This window comes from Homo sapiens, chromosome 9 (genome assembly GCF_000001405.40).
Source record: "Homo sapiens chromosome 9, GRCh38.p14 Primary Assembly".
NCBI lineage: Eukaryota > Metazoa > Chordata > Mammalia > Primates > Hominidae > Homo > Homo sapiens.
Window position 1 is genome coordinate 68785740 of NC_000009.12, and position 21427 is coordinate 68807166.

The window sequence follows — 21427 nt, forward strand, 5'->3', positions numbered from 1 at the left end:
AGACAGTGGAGCAGGGTGGCTGTGGTGAGGATTGAATGGGTTCGTACACAATGTGCTTACAAAGATGCTGGGCAATTAGCATCCTTGATGGATGAAACTCCTGCTTTCACACTCAGTTAACAGTACAATATCCTTCAAAGCAGGCTATCCTTTTATGAAGCGATTGTTTCTGATGTTAGCCTTTCTTATAGTGAACAGACATTTCCCTCTAACTTCCACCATTCAATTCAAGTCCACCTTTGGCAAATGCAAAACAAGCCTTATTCTTCTTTTTATAGGTGATAGCCCCCTTCTAGAAATCAGAAATACTGATCCTTCTCTAATGACTACTTCTTCCTTCCAGATTTTAGAAATCTTGAGCTGTGTCTTCAGTATGCTGTCTGTGAAATAAGGCTATCATTGCGTGGCAGCCAAGATTTTCACCAGATTGTGATTCCCTTATGACCATTTGCCTTCCTGGGTAGGAAGTGATAAATGGCCTGATAACGTGAGTTTTTGCCAGTAATAATAATAATGATGTGTTAATATTTCTTGAGCATTCACTATGGGTCCAGACACTATTTTTAGTGCTTTACATTTATGAGTGTTTAAAATCCTCATGACAACCCTGTGAGGCAGGTGCTATGGATTCCCATTGAAGAGATGAGAAAACCAAGGCCATTTTCTCAAGTCCCTATTACTGTCTATTTTTTTTCCTTTTGAATTTAGGCCCTTTTGGTTTTTTTATTATTATTATTATAAACTTTTTTTTATTATTAACTTGAAGACCATTTCCCAGCTAACTTTAGCAACTTGCTTTATTTTACTAGTGCTGCTACTTCTGTTTTGAATCAAATGATAGGTAATCATTCCTTAAAACAGTATTATATTAAAGGAACATACCAGGAAGTTTTTTTTTTAGTAATAGGCAAGAAATTAAAGTGTATAGAAGGAAATCATGGTTCCACAGCTTTATGTATTTTTTCCCTATAGCATTAATTTTATTCAAAGATTTAGGGGAAATTTTTTGTTTTAGAACGAAAAGGGACTGGTAGCTAACTGTTGTAAATACATGGTAGAGTAGAGTACAAAACAAAAGTCTATGAGGAAATGACCACTTACCAAGCAGCTTCACGGAGCAACCATACCCTCCACGGTAACCATTCTCTTAAGGCGATTGATGGAAGAGTTTCCAACCGGAAGGTTGGGATTCAGTACCACCCCCGCATGGACAAATGCAGATGTGAGATCACTCACAGCCATGTCTACCTTCATGGAAAATGAGTCGGCCCTCTCCAATACCATGACACGCAACCTCTGGCTGCACTGCGGTTATGGGATTGGCTTCTCTCCTACTTTTGCGGTTATGGGATTGAAACTCTCCTACTTTTTAGAAAATCCTGTGGAAGGATCAGGTAATAGGAAAAAGGCTGGTGAATTCTGTAAAGGGAAGTGAGTAGAATTGAGTTGGGTTAGGGAAGGAAGCATTTTAGGCAGCCACCATGGAAAGAAGGCAGGCCACCTTCTCACTGACGATGAGACCCAAGTGCTAAAGGCCAGCAACAGGCAGTGTCTGAAAACTAGTCTGATATCATCACAGTCTTCGAGGGAAAATATGATTCTACTAGGGTTTTCATGTCAATAGTGGACTCGAATTTAAGAAGTCTCCAGTCCTTTTGTAGAAGTACAAGTGTTTTTTATATATGAGCAGAAGGACCAGAAAGAAACCAACTCTTCTTCCCATCCCTCCTTAATACAGAATTTATTTACTTTTCTTGCCAATCTTTCATTTAAAGATGTCTCGTAACTCTTCTTTAATTCTGTTTCCTCCTCCTTCTCCTGCATAGATCAGATCCTTAACAGACCTTTCCTTGACCTAACATTCATTTTTCTTCCAATTTTTCTTTCTAATCTTTCTTTCTTTTTTTTTCAGAGACAGAGTCTCGCTCTGTCACGCAGGCTGGAGTGCAGGGGTGCAATCTTGGCTCCCTGCAACCTCCGCCTCCCGGGTTCAAGTGATACTCCTGCTTCAGCCTCCTGAGTAGTAGGGACTACAGGCATGTGCCACCATGCCTGACTAGTTTTTGTATTTTTAGTAGAGACGGGGTTTCACCATGTTGGCCAGGCTGGTCTCAATCTCCTGACCTCTGGTGATCCACCCACCTCAGCCTCCCAAAGTGCTGGGATTACAGGCTTGAGCCACCATACCCAGCCTCTTTCTAATCTTTCTACCTTGAAAAATCAACAAAGAAGTCTTTCGTCAGCTTTAGATAATTAAAGCCAAGCAAGCAACAAATGTTGGTCTTTTTCAGTAGAAACCATGTTAAAAATAGTTACACAAGCATCAAGCATCTCTACCCCCATCACACACCTTGTCCTTGAGAACTGGTTTTGCTGTGTTTCAGTTCTGTCCAGTTCTCCCTGGTGACCCTTTCCTCCCTTGATTAGTTCCACAGCACTGCAGGCTAAGGGGAAAAAGGAATGTGTGGGCCCAGGAGGGGACTGTCCTAGGAGACAGGCCGATACTTTTTACTTTTAGATAAGAAATGAAAAAGTGTTCATGACTTTTCCCTCTGCAGACTCTCCCTTCAGGTTCAAACTTGGAACTTTCTAGCTTTGGTCATGTATTTTATGCCCTTAAAGGGTTTGTACTTTTCTCCATACATATCCAGATGACCCTAAGTCCAGAAATAGCCAGCTGCTGCATCTTAACTACAAGTTAATTTTATCATATTAGAGGAAGATATCAGGAAGGTTTTTGTTTTGTTTTGTTTTGTTTTGTTTTTTAGTAATAGGTAAAAAATTAAAGAGTATAGAAGGAAATAGTGGTTCCACAGAACAATGGTTCTGGTTTGGAATCTCCAATGTGAAGACCCATGGTCTTCCTTAAACTTGGTAGCTTGTGGGGATTTGTTTTTCCCACATCCCAAAATAGCATCTCTGTGACTGGGCTGAACGTGTACATCCTTTGTCGTGGAGTCAGGCTCACGTTTAGGACCCCTTTGGGCATCTGGCTGGTGACTATCACTCCCTCTGTGGTCTTCCCCATTGCCTGCTTGGGTCCCACCATTATTCCAAAGCATACAAGTGAACTACTGTCTCAGAAACTGATATTATATTTGACATACACTGGGATTGCAACCAGTTTCTTTGCACTGACAGGATAAGAGAGCAGGCGGAAATTTCCATCAAGAGGGATGAAAGAAAGGATATGCTCAGATTTCCAGCACTTAAACACAAGGATGGAAGCTGATATCATCCAACCACCTGGGGTTCATGAAGGGAAGTGTAAGGTCTGGCATTCCAATCAGCTTGATACAGCATCAATCATCCCCTGGGTTTCAGCAGCAATTGTAGAACCTGATTTATCAATAATGGCATCAATCTCTTCAATCACATCAAAATAGGCCTCATTGTTGGTGTATTTCACCCCAGTACCTCGCCAAGGCACCATTGACAGTTATCCAGTGGGAAGTTGGTCACCCACATTGGTGCTTCCTGTGATGGTGTTGACAACTGTTCGAAGGATAGTGGGAGGCTTTATCTTTTCTTTGAGGATATTTGACTCGGTAGCCAACGAGTCAGCTTGGAAACCCATTGCCAAGCGTCTCTTCTGATGCCGCATAAATCACAATCACATTGTCCTTCATCACTAATTCTGAACAGACTCCAACATAGTCCTGAAATGTGTCCACTACTCAGTGAAGAAACTCTGACAAATAGAGGGGAGACCTCCATCTGGATCACAGCCACAAAAAAAGATCTTGTGGTGGTAAACACTTAAGAGACAGTGGTGAGGGGTAGGGATAACTGGAGGCACACTTTCTGCCTCAGTAGCTTGTTCTTGCACCTCAAAAAAGTATTCACAAACAGAACAGTGTACCACACTTCTCCAGTGTTTCTCCAGGAAAATATCTCCAGAGGAGTTGATCAAGAAAAGTCTATAAATCATGATAGACTGTGATTGTCAGGTGAGAAAGGAAAGCCTTTTTCAGTCTGAAAGCCTCAGGACTCTGCAGATTTTCAACCCCATCTTTCAAGACCAGGCTCAGTCTTCCTCTACTGCACGAGCCTGAAGTATCCCTCCCTTGAATACCCGGCCTCACTCCTCGGAGCACCTGATGCTTGCTCCACCTTATGAACAGGTCCCACCCTGCTCTGCTTTACATATTTTTTAACTGACTTTATATTTGAAATTTGAAATTACCAATCCCACAAATTTTGGATTTTTTTGTTTTCTTTAAATATATACATATATATAAACAGAGCTATGTTTAATTTATACAGTATCTTTGGTTGTTCCTAGATTGTCATTCCTAGGGAAACAAAGACAACCAGTTTGACCCTTCCCTCCCCTCCTTTCCCCTAAAAAACTCTAAGTTAAAACTGTGGCATTTTTTTAAAGGAAAAATGTAACACCAAGATTCAAAGAAGGATCATGCTTACCTCTTCTTTCCCTGTGAGAGGCTCTCCCCAGAGGTAGAGATTTAAATTCAGAGGAATTGAGCAATCCTTGAGAAACTTTACTTTTTAAAAACTTTTCTTCATAGAAAAATCAATTCACTGGTGAGTAAGAGGATCCGAAAAAGGAAAACCTCCCTTTGAAAACATTCCAGAATTGGTGATTAGACTTCCAGTTTCATACTATCATGTCCCTACATTAGACATTTTGGAACAAACCATCAAAAACCACAGTTGGTTCCAAAGGGTTAGTCTTATTTTTAGAAGTTCAGTAAATATTTAGAAATCACTTCAACACTGACTTTTAGTTCTATATGTAGCTTGTTTGTGAAAATAATTTTATAACAGAATAAGGTTAAGCAGATAATGTCAAATAATTGGGTCTTGTGTATGTACACCCAAACGCACATGAGCGCGCACACACACACACATACACACACGCACCCACTCACTCACCCTTGTGGACCTTTTTCTGCGTTCCTGGAGCCATATTTAGCTTTCCTGCCACTTTAGATTTTCTTCTATTTTTCCCTTCATTTTCTTAAACAGAAACTTGGGCTTTGTAAATGATACTGAACTATGCATATACCTATGTAGGTACTATATAGATAGAAAGTGTGCTGTGCTTTGATTTTGCATCAGCGGTTCAGATTTCAAGTGCTGCCCTAAGAGAGAAGTAAGTATTTGGTACTTGTACCTAGGACCTCTTTGTGCCTGATTTCTGTTTCTCCTTTTTGAATTTCTAGAATAAATACTCGGGGAGATGTAAAAAATACTCATTTACAAATTTTAAGGCAACATGACTGAAAGTAGAGAACAGAGAACCTATTGCTTTTGTTTACCCGCAGAAGTTCGGTTCTGTATCAATGCCAGGTATAATTCTGGTTTTTTTCCAGTTGCCTACAGTGGTCCCCCAAACCAAACTAACCTCTTAAGGCTTGGCTAGCAAGGCGTGTTGTGAAAGAATACAATTGAGAAAGATATTTTGTGCCCCAGCAGAGTAAAATGGTTGTTTGAGGTAATCGCTCCTGGGATTCGGCAATCCATCTCCCTTGCTTTAAGGACAAAGAAAGGTTTTAATGTCGAGATGCCAAGAGGATTATCAGAACTTGGGAGTGACAAGTAGCTGTTGAGTATTGGTATCTTTTGGGAAGGAAAATATGAGATATTTGGGAGGGAGTGGGAGTGAGGGGATGATGGATGGATTGGGTATTTCTTTTGGCACTGTAAATGTTCTCTTGGACTATTATTGTGAACTCCCTGTTGAGTAAAGAATGGCATTGAGGATGGTTTTCTTCATTGTTTGTTTCACTTCATTTAGGTTTTGGATTTGAATCAGGATGTGTTTAAGAATTTCTTTGAGTCTCTTTCCCTTGATGCTCTCTTCTTTTGAGTCCTCTTGGGGAAAAAAGGTAAATAATATAATTATAATTGTCAGGTTACTTTGAGTCAAGAATTAAAATTCCTGATGCTCTTTACCAATTTATATTGCATTTCTAACTCTGAATTTAAATTTCATACCTTTTCTATATAGTCTTTCTCAAGGCCCCGTTTACCATACTACTTGCTTTCAGTTATTTCTAAAATACAAACTTGAGAATGCAACTGTAATGGCTACCACAGAAGTTCAAGTTTAAATCAAACTATGCAGTATGAGTAAAAGACCTCTCCACTTCAACATATCCCCTGGATTCCAGTACTCTAGCTAACTGAGCTGCCTGCAGTTCAGTGTTTTCTGTATATGCTTACTGGCTGTGCTTTCAGACAAGCTGTGTCCTCTGCTTAAAATGGCATCTTCTTCCTCCTTCCTCCACAACCCCTGCCAACTGTTTTTCCTTAACTAACTCCTTAAAAATTTAGTTCAAGGGGCACATCTTTCCTGATGGCCCCTGCCTCTACAACCACGGTCAGTTAGGTGCTTTCTTCTGTGATCCTGTTGTTCCCAGGGCTTCCCTCTATAAAGGCAATTAATAGTCTGAATTGTATTTGTATGGTTTCTTTTCTCTTTGCCCCATGCAAAAATAGGGACTAAGCCTTTTATTTATGTCCCTAATACAGGGACATAATGCAGAGCACATTATAGTTACGCAAATTTATGTTGAGTAGATGAATTAATAGATGGATAAATGGATGAACAAATGGTACACAGTTTCTGTTTTGTTTTGTTTTATTGAGTTCATGATATTTGCGGTGAGATTTTATTCCATTTACAACACAGTGCCATTTAGAAATTCATTCAACAAGCATTTATTCAGCATTTACTGTGGCACATGTGTTTTTTTGTTGTTGTTTGTTTGTTTGTTTGTTTGTTTGTTTTTGAGACAGAGTCTCGCTCTGTCGCCCAGGTTGGAGTGCAGTGGCGCGATCTCGGTTCACTGCAAGCTCCGCCTTCCAGGTTCAGCCATTCTCCTGCTTCAGCCTCCCGAGTAGGTGGGACTACAGGCACCCGCCACCATGCCTGGCTAATTGTTTTGTATTTTTAGTAGAGACAGGGTTTCGCTGCATTAGCCAGGATGGTCTCGATCTCCTGACCTCGTGATCCGCCCGCCTCGGCCTCCCAAAGTGCTGGGATTACAGGCGTGAGCCACTGCGCCTGGCCCACATGTTTTTTAAGAAAAAGGAATGTAGTAAGATTCTTAGTGGAACAAGTTCAGTCACATGGCTGAGCCCTTTATAGTTTGCTGAGACTAGAAATTCATTCATTAAGCGATGTTGATTAAAGCACTGATTATGTGCCTCACACTGGGCTAGTCTCTTAGGATACTTTGGTGTACAAAACAAAGACTCCTGCCCTGTAGAACCCACATTTTGCATACATTCTAACAGGGTAGAAGGAGGGGCAGTAACAAACATAAAAAATAAGTAAATTACTATGTAAATTTACACATATAAAGTGTGTATGTGTGTATGTGTATACACATATAGTGTATGTGTATACACATATAGTGTAAGGAACAGGAGCTCAGCATGGCTGAAGCAGAGTTGTTGAAGGGAAAAATAGTTAGAGGGGGGTTAGAGAGGTGGGCAATAGTGAGGATTATTGCAAACATAGGTGGCATAGTATCTTGTATGAAGGACACTGGCTTTATGAGTGAGATGAGAGCCATCACAGAGCTTTGAGCACAGGAGTGACATGATCTGTCTTAGATTTTAATAGGAACACTCCTGCTGTGTTGAGAATAGACTCTGAGGGCGTGGTAGAGGCAGGGGGACCAATTAGGAGGCTATCCAGCAATCCAGGTAAGAGATGATGATAGCTTGGATGAGGGTGGTAGCGGTGGAGGTGGAAGAAGTGGCTAAATTATAGGTATATTTTGAAGATAGAACCAACAGATTTTGCTGGTAGATTTAAGGTGGGCATAAGAGAGAAGTTAAGCATAACTGAAAGGTTTGAGGCCTAAACAACGGGAAGGATTGGAGTTGCCATCAGCTGAAATATGGAAATCTATGGGTGGAGTAGGATATTTTTTGGTGGGGGGAGGGGCTATGGCTGTGGAGGTGAGTGGCATTAGCTGCTGAGTTTTGCATACGTTAAGCAATCTTTATTAGACATTCAAGTGGAGGCATCAAGTAAGCAGTTAGATACCTGAGTCAAGTTCAGGAAAGAGGGCTGGACTGAAATACACAATTGTGAGTCATCTGCCTGTGGATAGTGAAGTCAGGAGAGTAGATGGGATCACTAAGGGGAAAGTGTCATTAAAGAAAAGACTAAGAACTGAACCTTGAAGCATTCTATAACATTGAAAGATCAGGAAAAGGAAACCAAGCTAGAGCAATCAGAGAGGTAGGAAAACCAAGAGAGCACGGCGCTTTAGAAACCATGTGAAGAAGACATGAGAGAAGATGGAGTGATGGTGTGTCAGTTGCAGCTGATCTGACAAGTGAGATGAAGTCTAATCACTGAGTGCTGCATTTAGTGACATAGAGGTTACAAGTCACCTGTGTGAGAGTCATTGCGGTGGAGTGGTGCAGTTGGAGCCTGACTTGAGTGGAGTTAAGATAGAATACAGTGAGCACAATTGGAGACAGCCAGATAGCTGAAGAAGGATGTGGGTTCTTCTAGATTCTTGAGGTGAAAAAGGAACTGAAGCGAAAGGTCATCTTCCTCCCCTTTTATTGGTAAATTGGTATTAAGTGTTTCACAAGAAATACTCCTTTACACGTATGTGATTATAGCTTGGGGGAACAATCAAGGATAAATGACAGTTTCTTTTCTTTCTTTCTTTCTTTCTTTCTTTCTTTTCTTTCTTTGGCATTATTGTGAGAGGGAACAATTTTATAAGTAAATGTTTTTACTCCAAACATGAGTAAACTGTTCAAGCTAAGGGCTTTACTGACTTACTTCCTTCATGGGTTTGTCTGGTTCATCTTATTCCCTTGTCATCTATTTCTCCTGATGACTTTTTTCCACTTATAAATTGAAATATAGTTCCACACCCATGACACAATTATTTCTGTAACTTTGGCCCAGTTTCCTAACCCAGAGACATTTTTCTCTTCAGTGAGTGCTGTAAATTAAAAAAAAAAAAAAAAATAGTTCATTGTCTTCTTAGATTTTATTCAGGAGCAGATTTTTCCCTATTCCTTTGCAAAATTGTTGCTGAATAGTGGGAGAGGAGAGGACCAGTAATGATAGGAAACAAACAATATTTTCCTCACTTTGAATTGCTAAGATTTCCTTCTAATCATAGAATATTGTCAGGTTCCTTCTTGTGGGTTGGGAAGTCTGTCTGGATCCTTTACAAAAGAGGACTGAGGGACATCCAAGCCATATTTGTAACCAGCAGGGAAAAATGCCTTCTCCTGGAACTGCTTATCTCTCCTGATAATGCATTTCTGTCTTTCAAGACGTCAGTTAAGTGCCGTGCACTCCATGGAATGTCCTCTGATCCTTCCGGCTCTAGGTAGTATTGGTTTTCCTCTGAATCAGTGTACTACCTTCTGCCTGTACTCCTTACTTTGTGTGTGTGTGAGAGAGAGAGAGAGAGCGTGTGTGTGTGTGTGTTTTAATGGTTAAAACATCTGTGTCTCTACAGGCTGGTAGAACTACATTCCACACCTAACCTTGTGACTTCCAAGCTTTCTGATTTTAGGCAAATTGCTTAATCTTTGTGTGTCTTAGTCTTTTCATCTGTTAAATGGGAGTGGTTCTTATCACAAAAAGTAGTAAGGATTAGAAAGGAATTCTCTATAAAATTGTAAAGTTATTTATTCAGAAAACTGGTAACTTGAATAAATGGAAACCCGAAGAATATATGTAATATATGGAATAATCCCCTATCTTTAGGGCAAATTTCCTGAAGGAAAGGGACAATAGTTTATCTGTCTTTCCTAATACCAGTTGACTGAGAAAGAACTTAGTGAATGTTTATTAATGGTGATAGATAACGCTTGGAAAATATGTGGAATGGTTGCTCACAGAAATCTGTGATATGTGTCTTAAAATATTTGCACATTAGCAAATGTTTTAGACTTTAGGAAATCTTCCAGACTAAAACTCTTTCTAGGGAAATGGTGTTGCAATTTTGATGGTATATAGGAAGTCAGTGAGCTTTCCTTTTAGTTTTCCTAACATTCATGAAAATTTCTGGGTTTCTCCTATTTCATTCATATTTTCATAGAGAATTCAGAAATCTGCTTTAATTTTAACACAGTCAATCAACCTTGTTCTATAATTAGGATGAGAAGTTAAATGACATTTACTTTTGAGCAAACTTTCATAAGATATGTATTTTAATCATGTGAAAAAAAGATTAGAATAACAAAATATACTGAAACAGGCAAATTACACCTTCTAATGAGAGAAGCGATGCAGGTTCATTTTAGAAATTGTAGAAAGTTCTGATAAGCAAAAGTAGTACACTTCACTGAGATGCCATTGTTTGCACTTCATGTATATTGTTCCAGGCTTTTTCTATGTCTAAATATGTATATGTGATTTCATACGGTGATAGCATCCTGCTGTATATTCAGCTCCATAAACAGCTTTTATTCCCCATGTAATATACAGTGAATGTTTTAAATATGCTTCTGCATTTTTTTGATAGTTGCATTTTTTTGATAGTTGCATGTTATTTTTTTCTGTGGATGTACCACAGTTAATCCACTGTTACTCTTTAGTTTGTTTTCAATTTTTTCCTCAATTACAATGTTCTGATGTACATCTGAACAAACTTTTAAAATTTAAAGACCACAAACATTTCTTAGACTTGCCAATATAAAATACCTAATTCAACTTTGTTCATTCTTAAAACATTCCTTTCTGAACCGGTTTTGTTATTTATTTGATGGTCATGTTTGGAGCTCCTGTGTGTGACTGAAAAAAGAAGAAAAGTGTAGTTTTCTGAACATAATCTGCATTTCAGATTTTTTCATGAATCTAAGACAGCATTTTCCTCATTTGATCCAAACTAGAGAGTTTTGATAATGTCATCAGGAAATGATGCTCCGAGGTTGTCTTCTCCTCAACCAGAGCAACCCGTAATTCATGGCTAGTGAGGTTGCCAGGAAGTCAGTGATCCTTACCATTGTGTCATTTGAATGAAAGAAAGGCTGGAGCATAGGAAGTGGGGAGATGAGAAAGAAGCCAGAGTTAGATATCTATCCCACAGATTTAAGGTCACCACCGTTTCCGTCTTTCATAGCTATGGCAACTTGAGATCCCATGTTTTCTAGGTTAGTTATCAAATATTCCCTCCAGTAGCCCAGTGAAACATCTTAGAAATTCTAGTATTTGGACATCAAAACTAGCATATTTCTATTTTATGCACCTAAAAATGACACCAAAACCCTTTATGACATCATGGTTGTCAGTTTTAGGGTTATAAAATATGGTGACCATATATAGATCTTAGGAAAAGGAGTAAAAGAGATGAGTTAATTATTCATTTTTTCAATAAATGTGGTGAATGAATACTTACTATGTACCTGGCACTGTCCTAGGGCCTGGGCTTACAAAGACGAGTGGACAAGTCCTTAAGTTGCTCTTGGCGTGGTACACACATATATGTTTAATGTCTACGATGCTTTGTTGTTATTTGTTGCTGTGTAAAAGACATATGTCCAAGATGCTACAGGAACCCAGAGGAAGGAAATGCAAAGGTTTTTACAGAGGAAGCAACTCTTTAGCAGGTTAATAAGTGGATAGGCATTCCCCAGGGAGACAAGGGGTACATGATGAGTGTCATTCAATATGTGCAAAGAACAGAGTATATTCTAGGATTCTCCAGCAAACAAGAATTGCAATGTTGATTTAAAACATTTGGAGTAAGTATTGGGTTGAATTTTTTGTTGGTGATGGTGGTAGTGTTTGCTAATTGTTTTTATTTTTCCATATTTCTCAGTTTTTTAAAATCTTCATTGTTTATTCCTTTTTAGGGAATTACTAAACCATTTGACCCTGAAAGATCAGATGAAATGGACATGGCTTATTAAGGAGTTGTTGTAACTACTTCTTGTCTCAATGACATACTATTTTCCTGTCTTGGATTTAATTGCTTAGAAATTATGGCTACAGATTCACAAAGAGATTGGAAGAAAGAATAGATAAAGAATATATAGTTCAAATTATCTGCTAAATTTTTTGTGCTGTTAGTAATTAATACTCCAAAATGTGATAAAGATCACTGTGCCCGTTTTGTTTTGTTTTGTTTTGTTTTGTTTTGTTTTAGCATTGGAAAAGCCTTGGGCTATACATTCTGAGATTTCAAACAAAGTAGATTTATAGTGGAAAGGAACCAGAGGTTTAGACTAAATAGATACGCTGTAAGAGAGCCATAATGATCTTATTTAAATATTTTCCACATTAAATAAGGCATGAGTACTGTTATGCTACTGCCTTTTTTTTAATAATTGAATTTGCATCCATGGTGGTTTTTTTTCATTCCCCGTGGAGTTCCACTTGATAGCCAATGTGAATATTTGAAGAAAATAATCTGTTGGAGCCCAGATTTGAATTAAACTTCCTCAAAGTATAATGAAAGTTTTGAGTTTGTCTTATAAGAAAGAAATTTTTGTTTATGCTTTAGAAGCTTAATTGATAGAAGTCTGGAGAGCAATAATTGGGGTGAATTTTTAAGATGGTTGTAAGATTGTTCACTTGGTAAATATTTCTTGAGCTCTTACTGTAGACACTGTGGACCAGTCATTGAACTGAATTAACTTTCACTCTAGTTCCTAATAGACATGTTAAGCTGCTGGCTTCATGGAGTTTACATTATAGTGAGAGGAAACAGACAAAAACAATAAAAGGTAGTTAGTAGTTAGTAAAATCATTGCCAATTACAATAAATGTTAGGAAGGAAATAAACAATGGGCTGAGAACTTGAACCACAGAGAAGCACCTGCTTTGGGTAGAGTGGCCAGGGAGAATCATCATGGGCAAGGGGGAGGCATGTGCATGCACTTGGGGAATTGAAAGGAGGCTGGTGAGCAAGAGGAAGCATAGCATCAGATAAGCATGGAGAGCTAGGCAGGCAACAGACCACACGGGGTCTTATAGGGCAAGATCAGAAGTCTAGATTTTATTCTAATGCCATAAGAAGACATTAAAGGGTTTTACACAAGGCCTAACCTGAACTGATTTCTTTTTTAAGACCATTATTGCCTTGTGGAGAATGGGAGCAGGAAGATCAAGTAGGAGGATGTTATATTAGTCTAGGCAAGAGATATTGGTGACTGGGCTGAGGTGTAGCAATTAGGATGGAGAACAAAAGATGGTTTTGAGAAATCAGCAAGATTTGGGAGAGGGCATACTAAGGAGAAAGAGAGAGAAATCAAGAATGACTGATTTTTGTAAATGAAGTTTACTGACTTGAGTAAAAATGGGAATGAAGTGACATTGAATGAGATGGGAAAGTTTGCAGGGGCAGAAATAAAGAGGTGTTTGAGTTTTGTTTAGGACCTATCTCTAATATGTTTTTGAGGATTCTAAAGGGAGCTGTCAGTTGGCTATATAAGTTCAAAGCTAGGGAAATCTGGATGCAGCTAAAATTATATTTGAGATAAGCACACCTTCCATCAATATGTTGGCTGTAATTTTAAAAAGCATTTGGAGTATACTTGAAAATACTGAAACTCTCTATCTGTAGTACATACCTTCTGTTCATCAGTGACTAATTTTAGGGTACACAACAGTTGTGCAAAAGAATGAAGTCCTCTTAGTTGCACTTCTTATCAAAATCCCAATGGTATTGTTTTATAGAAATAGAAAAAAATTAAATTCATATGGAACCACAAAGGAGCCCAAATAGCCAAAGCAATCTTGAGAAAGAAGAGCAAAGTTGAAGGCATCACACTTCCTAACTTCAAAATATATTACAAGCCACAGTAAACAAAAGAGTATGGCACTCTCATAAAAATAGACATATAGGCCAATAAAATAGAATAGAGGCCCCAGAAATGAACCCATACATATACAATCAATTGATCTTCAACGGGAGTGCTAAGAATACACAATAGGGAAAGATAGTACCTTCAACAAAGGGTGTTGGGAAAACTGGATATCCATATGTGAAAGAATGAAACTGGACTTTTATATCAGACGCAAAACCAACTCAAGATGGATGAATGACTTAAAAATAATACCTGAAACTGTGAAACTCCTAGGAGAAAAGCTAGGGGAAAGGCTTCATGACATTGGTTTTGGCAGCAATTTCCTGGATATGACACCAAAATCACAGGCAACAAGAGCAAAAGTGGACAGATAGGACTAGGACAATATCAAACTCAAGAGCAAAGGAAATGATCAACAGAATGAAAAGGCAACTCATGGAATGAGAGAAAATATTAACAAACTATACATCTGAAAAGGGGTTAATATTCAAAATATATAGGGAACCCCTACAACCCAATAGCAAAAGAAAAAATAAGGAGCCTGATTGAAAAATAGGCAAAGGACTTAAATAGATATTTTTCCAAAGAAAACATACATGAGCCTGGCCTTCCCATATCAGGTTCCTTAGAGAAACTGAAAATAGTGATGGTGAAGGGGCTGGTGGAGATACCTGTGGGCAGCAGGTGCCCGGTTTGGGCCAGTGAGTGAGGAGAAGCCTCACACACAGCATGTGGTATGTGGCTACCATTTTTTCTCTTGCTTAGGCCCTGCAAATGTTGGGGGTAGACCTTGCCTTTCGAATGCAATAGTCCTTGAGGTTTGTACCATGCTTTTCATCCAGCATCTAGACAGGGCCTGCACATGCACAGGTGTTTGTTAAATGGATGAGTAATCCAGTTTTCCTTGTTTTCTGTGGCATGGGGAAGAAACATGGGTTGCTTGAAGTACCTTGGGTTCAACAGACCTCACCATTTCCTTCTTACTGATGTAAGAAGGCCTTGAAGACCCATCCCAGTCAGTCATCCATGGATAGCATCTATGTCAAGAGGATGTCGGGCCTTTATGTGTGATTCTATAGTTAGTGCAGTGCACAATGGGGCTCCACTGAAGGGTAGATGGAGGCTGATTTCCAACCTGTTCTCAGCTGCCACGCTCTGTATCTGCTGTTGAAAAGGGGCCTTTTTCTTTGCAGGGTTAAGTCTGCCCAGAGGTGGTATCTTTTTCTCATTTTTCTGCAAGGGCATAGGCATTTGCTAAATCAGAAAGGTTGCCTTTTTGTCATTCAAACAAAGGTGTCCTAGGCTTCCCAAGGTCATATTTGGGTACCCTTGCTCCAAATTCTCCATGACTGTTAAGTTCTTGAGGAACTTGAGCTGTAAGCACTCCAAGTGTTGGAATACTTTGAGCAGTTGTCTCCCTGTGCTTGCATCTCTTCTCCCCCTCATATAGAAATCCCAGATAGGAAAAGTGTCGATCCAAGTTGCAGGCTTCCATGTCCATTCCTAGGGCTCTCAGGCCTCGCTGAGTCAGCACCTGCTACTACCACACAGGTGGATTGGTCCATAGATATTTTAACCCATTGCTCTGTTCCCAGATGCCCCTGCCTTCCTTCTGATAAGGCAAATTTAATTTGTGTGTGTGAGGAGGGGATGGAGAGGGTGCTTTGCTTGAGCCAGGATATAGTCCTTTATATTCTGCTGAAAATTCTCAAAGGAGGGCTATCCAAGGGAAAATAACAAGCCCGGGCATGAGAGAACTTAGAATTCCAGGGATACTTAGCGGTATTAACACTAGGAAAAGGGCACATTTTTTTTTTCATATTGGATTGCTAATAATCACAACAATGCTAAATACTTCCTGGATTTCTTTCAGTTGGGCTGAATTTAAGAAGTATAGGTTTATGCTGTTCCTTGATGCTGAGAAAAGAGGGTACATGTAATACTGAGACATCCGCACAGTGGTGGGTGTTGAGGCACCCTGCCAGGTGGGAGAGATTTGAAATATATTCCAAGACTAAAGATTTGGGATTTTTTTCGTACTTTCAAAACCACAGGGATTGACAGAGTTTAATAATAAGATTACAGAGTTACTCCTGTGAATATAATATACCACTTGAAAGAAGTACATTTGGTCAGGCTGGACGGAATCTCATCAAAGAGATAAGGGAAAGTCCGGAAGACACACCTGAGTATGGTCTGAAGCCAAAGAACAGCATGCTCCAAAACAAGCCCAATCTCAGGTTAAGAAGCCTTCATCATTTAGAGTGGCCACCACACGGACTCTCCTTGTTTTGTCTTTTGACTGTTAGGTTGAGTTCTGATGGAATGAATGATGGGGGTTTGCCCCAGCATATTAGCAGCGCATTTCGGCCCTTGTGCCAGTCTGGAAACAGGCGATAGAGAGTGAAGTCAGTGTGTTACCATCACAGAAAACAGCTTAGAAAAAGATACCCCACCAGATAAATAATGGGCATCTCTGGATGAGAAGATTGATGGCTCCTTTTATTTTCTTTGTGATTTTCTGTCTCTTTCTCATATTTCTAAAATAGATATGAGTTGCATTTATAATGATTTTTAAAGTTATTCCAAAAGAGAAACTATTCAAAGAAACTGAAACTTTATGGAATGAACCTGGAATAGCAAGAAAAGATATCTTATGGAAGTATTCGAAATACTAAATTGATAGCCATCCTTAGTTTTTCATGTCAGTTTGATGCTTGAACATTCCTTGATTATCCAGTGCTAAAAGGAGGAAGAAAACATTTATGAAGCATCTACTTAATGTGTAAGGACTTAAAAAATGAGACATCCTTTCTGAACTCAAGGTAGCTTATCTAAGAACAACAGAAATACGCATATATGCATTAAACTTTCCATTTTTGTGTCTATTCATGTGCCAGGCACTGTGATGGATAGAAAATGGATGGATGGATGGATGGATGGATGGATAGACAGAGGTTATTGCCCTCAAGGGGCCAATAGTGTACTAGAAAGAGAAGAAATTTAAACTGAGGATTACAATATAGTCAGTAAGTGTCACAATAGAGTTAGTCCCAGAGCACGTGAGTACAGAGAAGAAACGCTGCCCTTTGCCTCAGGAGGGGTAGGAGAGGATTCATACGAGGAAGTCATGCCTGAGCTGCATCTTGGAGGACAAAGAGCACTCAGCCTGAGAGTGAAGGGGATGTGCCAGGCATTGAAGTGTGTGCAAAGGTAAGATGCAAAGAGAACCACGCATTCTGAGAGCTGACAGTCATCCCATGTGGCTGCAGTTGTGTTGGGGTGAGCTGGGAGGAGATATGAGAGTCGTGAGAGGTCATACGCTGTGCCAAAACCTCTGAGGTTTGCCCTGAAGCAGTGGGAAGCCCTTGCAGGATTTTAAAGAAGGAGAGTGGTTAGACAGATTTGCATATAGAAAAGTCCCTTTAGCAATGTTGTTCACCAACAAGGCAGACTAATTAGGAGGCTAGGGCAGCAATCTGTGTTAGAAATGATGAGATCTCAATTAAGTTTGTATAAGGGAAAATGCAGAGAAAGACTCAGAGTCAAGGAACATCAAGGAGATTGATTGGAAAGAGCTTAATTGATAGGTTGTGGGGAGGATGTATTGAGGAGGAATTGGGATGGCCCCTTGATTTCAGGCTTGGACAACTGGGTGCTAATGGTGGCATTCTTTGAGCTGGATGGGATACGATAAACTGCAATTGAAGCATTTTAAATTTATAGTGCCTGCGAGATACTATAGAAACCCTAAAAGCAGCTGGGAATATAAATCTTGAGCTCAAGAAAGTCTGGGCTCAAAGAGTTATTTGGGAGTCATCACAAGTAGGTTGCAGTTAAACCCATTGGTGATGGAAGAGATTATTCAGAAGCAGTGAGAAGAAAAGAATTCGGAAGACCATGAGGAACAGGAACATTTAAGAAACAGTCAAAAAAGGTGGAAGCCTGCCAGAGAGCCCAAGAAAAAGTGTTCAGAGAAGTGGAGGAAAGCCAGGCATACCAGGAAGGGAAAACCAGGCATATATGGAGGCCCTGCTCATGCTGTCTCCCAAGTTCATCATCCGTGGAAGAAAGGGCAAAGAGCAAATGCCAAGTGGCAGACATGCACTTCCCAACTGAGTTTGCCTCTAACAAGTCTCTCTGGATGTAAATGTCTGTCGATACCTCACTGCTAGAATGTCTAGGAATACAAGTTTCTTGTTTGTTTAACTGGGAACATTACCTTCCTAAATAAAGCTATGATCCTGTTAATAAAGCACATGGGGAAAAGGGATTTGGGGTATTTGGGGTAGGCAAATGACAGTGTTGGCCACTTCAGGTAGCCAAGGGAAGAGGGACAGTCAGTGAAGGAGGACTGGTCATTCATCAGTTCAACACAGATTTGAGAGCCTGCTGTGTGCAAGGTATTCAGTGTCCGTGCTTCAGAGAAGTTGAGGAAGGTCATGAATGAAATGACTGCTTGGGTGAAGCAATGAGGAATCCACCTTTGAACTTGGGGTGGTTGTCCAGGAGGCCGGATTGCTGTGCCTCCATGAGCGTGTGGAGGGGTGGGGGTGAAGATGGAGAATGGACAACAGTCTTTTGAGGAGTTGACTTTGAGCATAAAGGGAGTGGGATGATGCCGCAGCCAGGAGGGAGCATCAAGGTGAAGAAGAGGTTTCAGGAGCCAGGAGGAAGGGTCTCAGGAAGGAGTTCACATGCTCATATTCTCAGGGTGAAGAGCCAGATGAGGGAAAGTAGTCGATTCAGGAAAAAGAGTATCTGATAAAGCTCCAGACAGGTATGTGTTGTGGGGAGCGGAGAACATACCTTAGCTGTGCATCAGAGAGGGACAAAGATGGGTATGGGCGTTCATAGTTTACAGGTGGGAAGGCAGGAAACAAAGGGCCCACCATTCCTCGGGGAGGCAGGGGGCAGGTAGCGGACTTAAGGAAATAAGCGAAGTCTTCAAATAGGCAGTATTAGCAGAGAGGTTAAGAGCCACTTTGGAACTGGACAGTCTGTGCATTCCCATCCTGGCTCCAACTGTATGACCTTGGGCAAGTTATTTATATATTTTATTCTTCTAGTTTTCAATTTTTTTTTTTTTTTTTTTGAGAGACAGGGTCTCACTCTGTCATTCAGGATGGAGCGCAGTGGCATGATCATAGCTCACTGCAGCTTTGAACTCCTGAGTTCAAGTGATCCTCCAGCCTTGACCTCCCAAAGCACTGGAACTACAGGTGTGCACCACTTCACCCAGCTAGAGGCAAGTTATTTAACCTCTCTGTTGCCTTCGTTTTCCTCTGCAACCAAGCAATGAGGATAATAACAGAAACCTGTTACTTGGAGTTGTTGGAAGAATTAAATGAGTTAATTCATGTAGTACTTGTCTGAGTGCCTGGCACAAAGGAGTGTTTCATATGCATTGGCTGTGATAATGATTATTTATAGGACAGAGAGCACATGCAGTCCAGGGTCACCTAAACGCCTAACTGGTCCAGAATGCAAGTGCGTTGGCTGAGGGCTGTGAGGGCACAGCAGATGAAGCATTGCATTCTTCAAGGAAGTCCTCAGGGGGAGGCATTTGAGATTGGCACAGCCCTGGAGAGGCTAGCTCAAGTAGAACAAACACTGTTGGTGCAGGCAAGAGGCTGTCAGAGCACCTGCCACATTTGCAGAGGAAGGAGCCCTCTGACACTTGAGAGGGAGCATGTGGGGCGCAGGGGGCCCTGTGTGTAGAGGCTCCTTCACCTCAAGGGTGGGAAGAATGGTGGAGGAGCGGCCAGAGATGAGGGTGAGCATCACACTTTGCAAGGCCTCGAATACCTGGAGTTTCTTCTGTAGCCACGAGAAGGTTGGGAGCAGGGCAATGAGGGTCCACTCTGTCCTGTGGTGCTCCTTCTGGTGAGAGTAGCTAAAAATAGTCATCACAATGCTGAGTGCAGGGACTGCGTATGGTGTGCCAGGAACATTGGAGTGCTGTAAATCTTGGACATTACTAACGACTGCCCTGTGAGAGAGGTACTGTTATTTGTTTTATTTTTCAGATGAGGAAACTGAGGCACACAGAGGTTAAGCCACTTGAGGATTCCATACAGCTGGTGTGCGGCAGAGTCAATAGTGAAGCTGGGCAGTGTTGTGACACCAGAGCCTCTTCCTGTGACCACCGAGCTGTCATCACCTGTCACATTAGGGTGTGGCTCTCCAGAGGGGGTAGTGACAAGTGGAGATTGGAGCAATGACCTCTGCTAGGCTTATGGCAGCTTATTGATAAAACATTTTCTGTCTTAGTCAAGGAGAGTTTGGCTGTAAGGACTAGAAACTCCTGCAAAGAACTCAAGTGAATGCTGAATGGATTGTGAAGATACAGGGGCGCTCCCAGAACCCAGTTGCTTGCTAGGGAGTATGGCTAGACATTACACAGCTGGAGAGTTGTCAGGCTGTAGCAGTATCTCTGTCTGTCTGGAAACACAGGGCCTTCTCTGTGCATCTTTCCACAGTCTGATTAAATTGCAGCTTTCCTAGTTTCACTCTCCCAGGACCTTGGCTAGCCCTGACCCTACCTGACCTGAAAAGTCACTTGACTCACTCAGTCCCTGTGTTGTAGATAAAGTTCTTGCTTTGGATAATCTGCTGGTTTAGCCTAGTTCAAGTGTCCCTCCTTGGTTCCTTCTGCAGCTGGGATAAAGGTGGCACAGGTTATGACCAGGCAGGGAGAAAGCTGCTCTGAGAACTCCATGATCTTCAGTGGTTAGTGAAGCTTGCACGCCTTGCCATCTTGACTTAACTGCTAACCCTGCACTCCTCAGTCCCTGGCTTTGCTCAGGTTCTGACAGTGTTTTTGTTGTAAACATCTTGTGGGGCTCCTTCCTTTCAGCCTGCAGCTCTGCCCTGGTCTTTCAGGTCTTCATCCTCATGACTATTGCAGCAGGCTCTAGAGTCACCCTTCAAATCTGGTTTTCGCTTCCCATTTTATCTCGCCTTCTTTTAAGCAATATTATTTTTACAATTTTTATTGGCCTCCTATTCAGAAGCCTTCAGCAGATGTTCCTTAATTTGTCACATTCATGGCTGTCTCCCAGGGCCATCTAGCCCGCCGCTAATCATCCTCTTCCCTTGAATTCCCATCGTATCAGCACAGGATAATTTTCTCTTACCAGACATGCCATGGCCCTTCCCTTCTCCACGCCTGCTCCTTCCCTCCTGCTCTGACATCTCTCATCCATGACTTAAGAATGCTGACTGTAGACCCTGACTCTAGACCACAGTCACCTCCCTCTCCTCTGAACTCCTTTTAGTTTTGATTCTCTAGGGAAATTGTTGGTTTGTTGAAAGCAGCTGCCTGCCCAGTGTGTCTTGAACCTGCACACAGCCAAGCACATGTCAAACACTTGGAAAATTTAATATTCAGTGATTAGTGGCTGATTTATTATCTCTTTTGGCCTTGGTTTTTTTTTTTTTTTTTGCTTTTTAATTTTTTATTACATATTAAAGAACATTCCATATAAGCTCTCTGACTGTGATGATTGAATACTTGTTAGAGGCAAAGCCAAGTAAAAGTATTAACTCTAATCCTGTTAAAGACTTTCCCATTATTACATGTGCTTGAGTTTTGGCTTCTCTTTTGTGTGCCTTGAGAACAGGGACCATCTCATTCATCTTGTATACCTCA

The 21427-nt window shown here is 40.8% G+C and overlaps 1 protein-coding gene and 1 pseudogene across 14 annotated transcripts in view; one reads left to right on the forward strand and one right to left on the reverse strand.

Annotated features, from left to right (window-relative positions):
* The window catches only part of PIP5K1B (phosphatidylinositol-4-phosphate 5-kinase type 1 beta), a 303937-nt gene that overhangs the window by 80500 nt on the left and 202010 nt on the right, over positions 1-21427 (forward strand). For 3 of the 14 annotated variants that reach the window (XM_017015189.2, XM_047423952.1, XM_011519084.4), the window contains one exon: positions 344-487. The exons of the other annotated variants lie outside the window; for them this stretch is intronic. The gene's annotated coding sequence lies outside the window, so the exon portion shown is untranslated. The remainder of the gene's footprint in view (positions 1-343; positions 488-21427) is intronic. 14 annotated transcript variants of the gene reach the window in all.
* LOC100421655 (adaptor related protein complex 3 subunit mu 2 pseudogene) lies at positions 2826-4105 on the reverse strand (annotated as a pseudogene).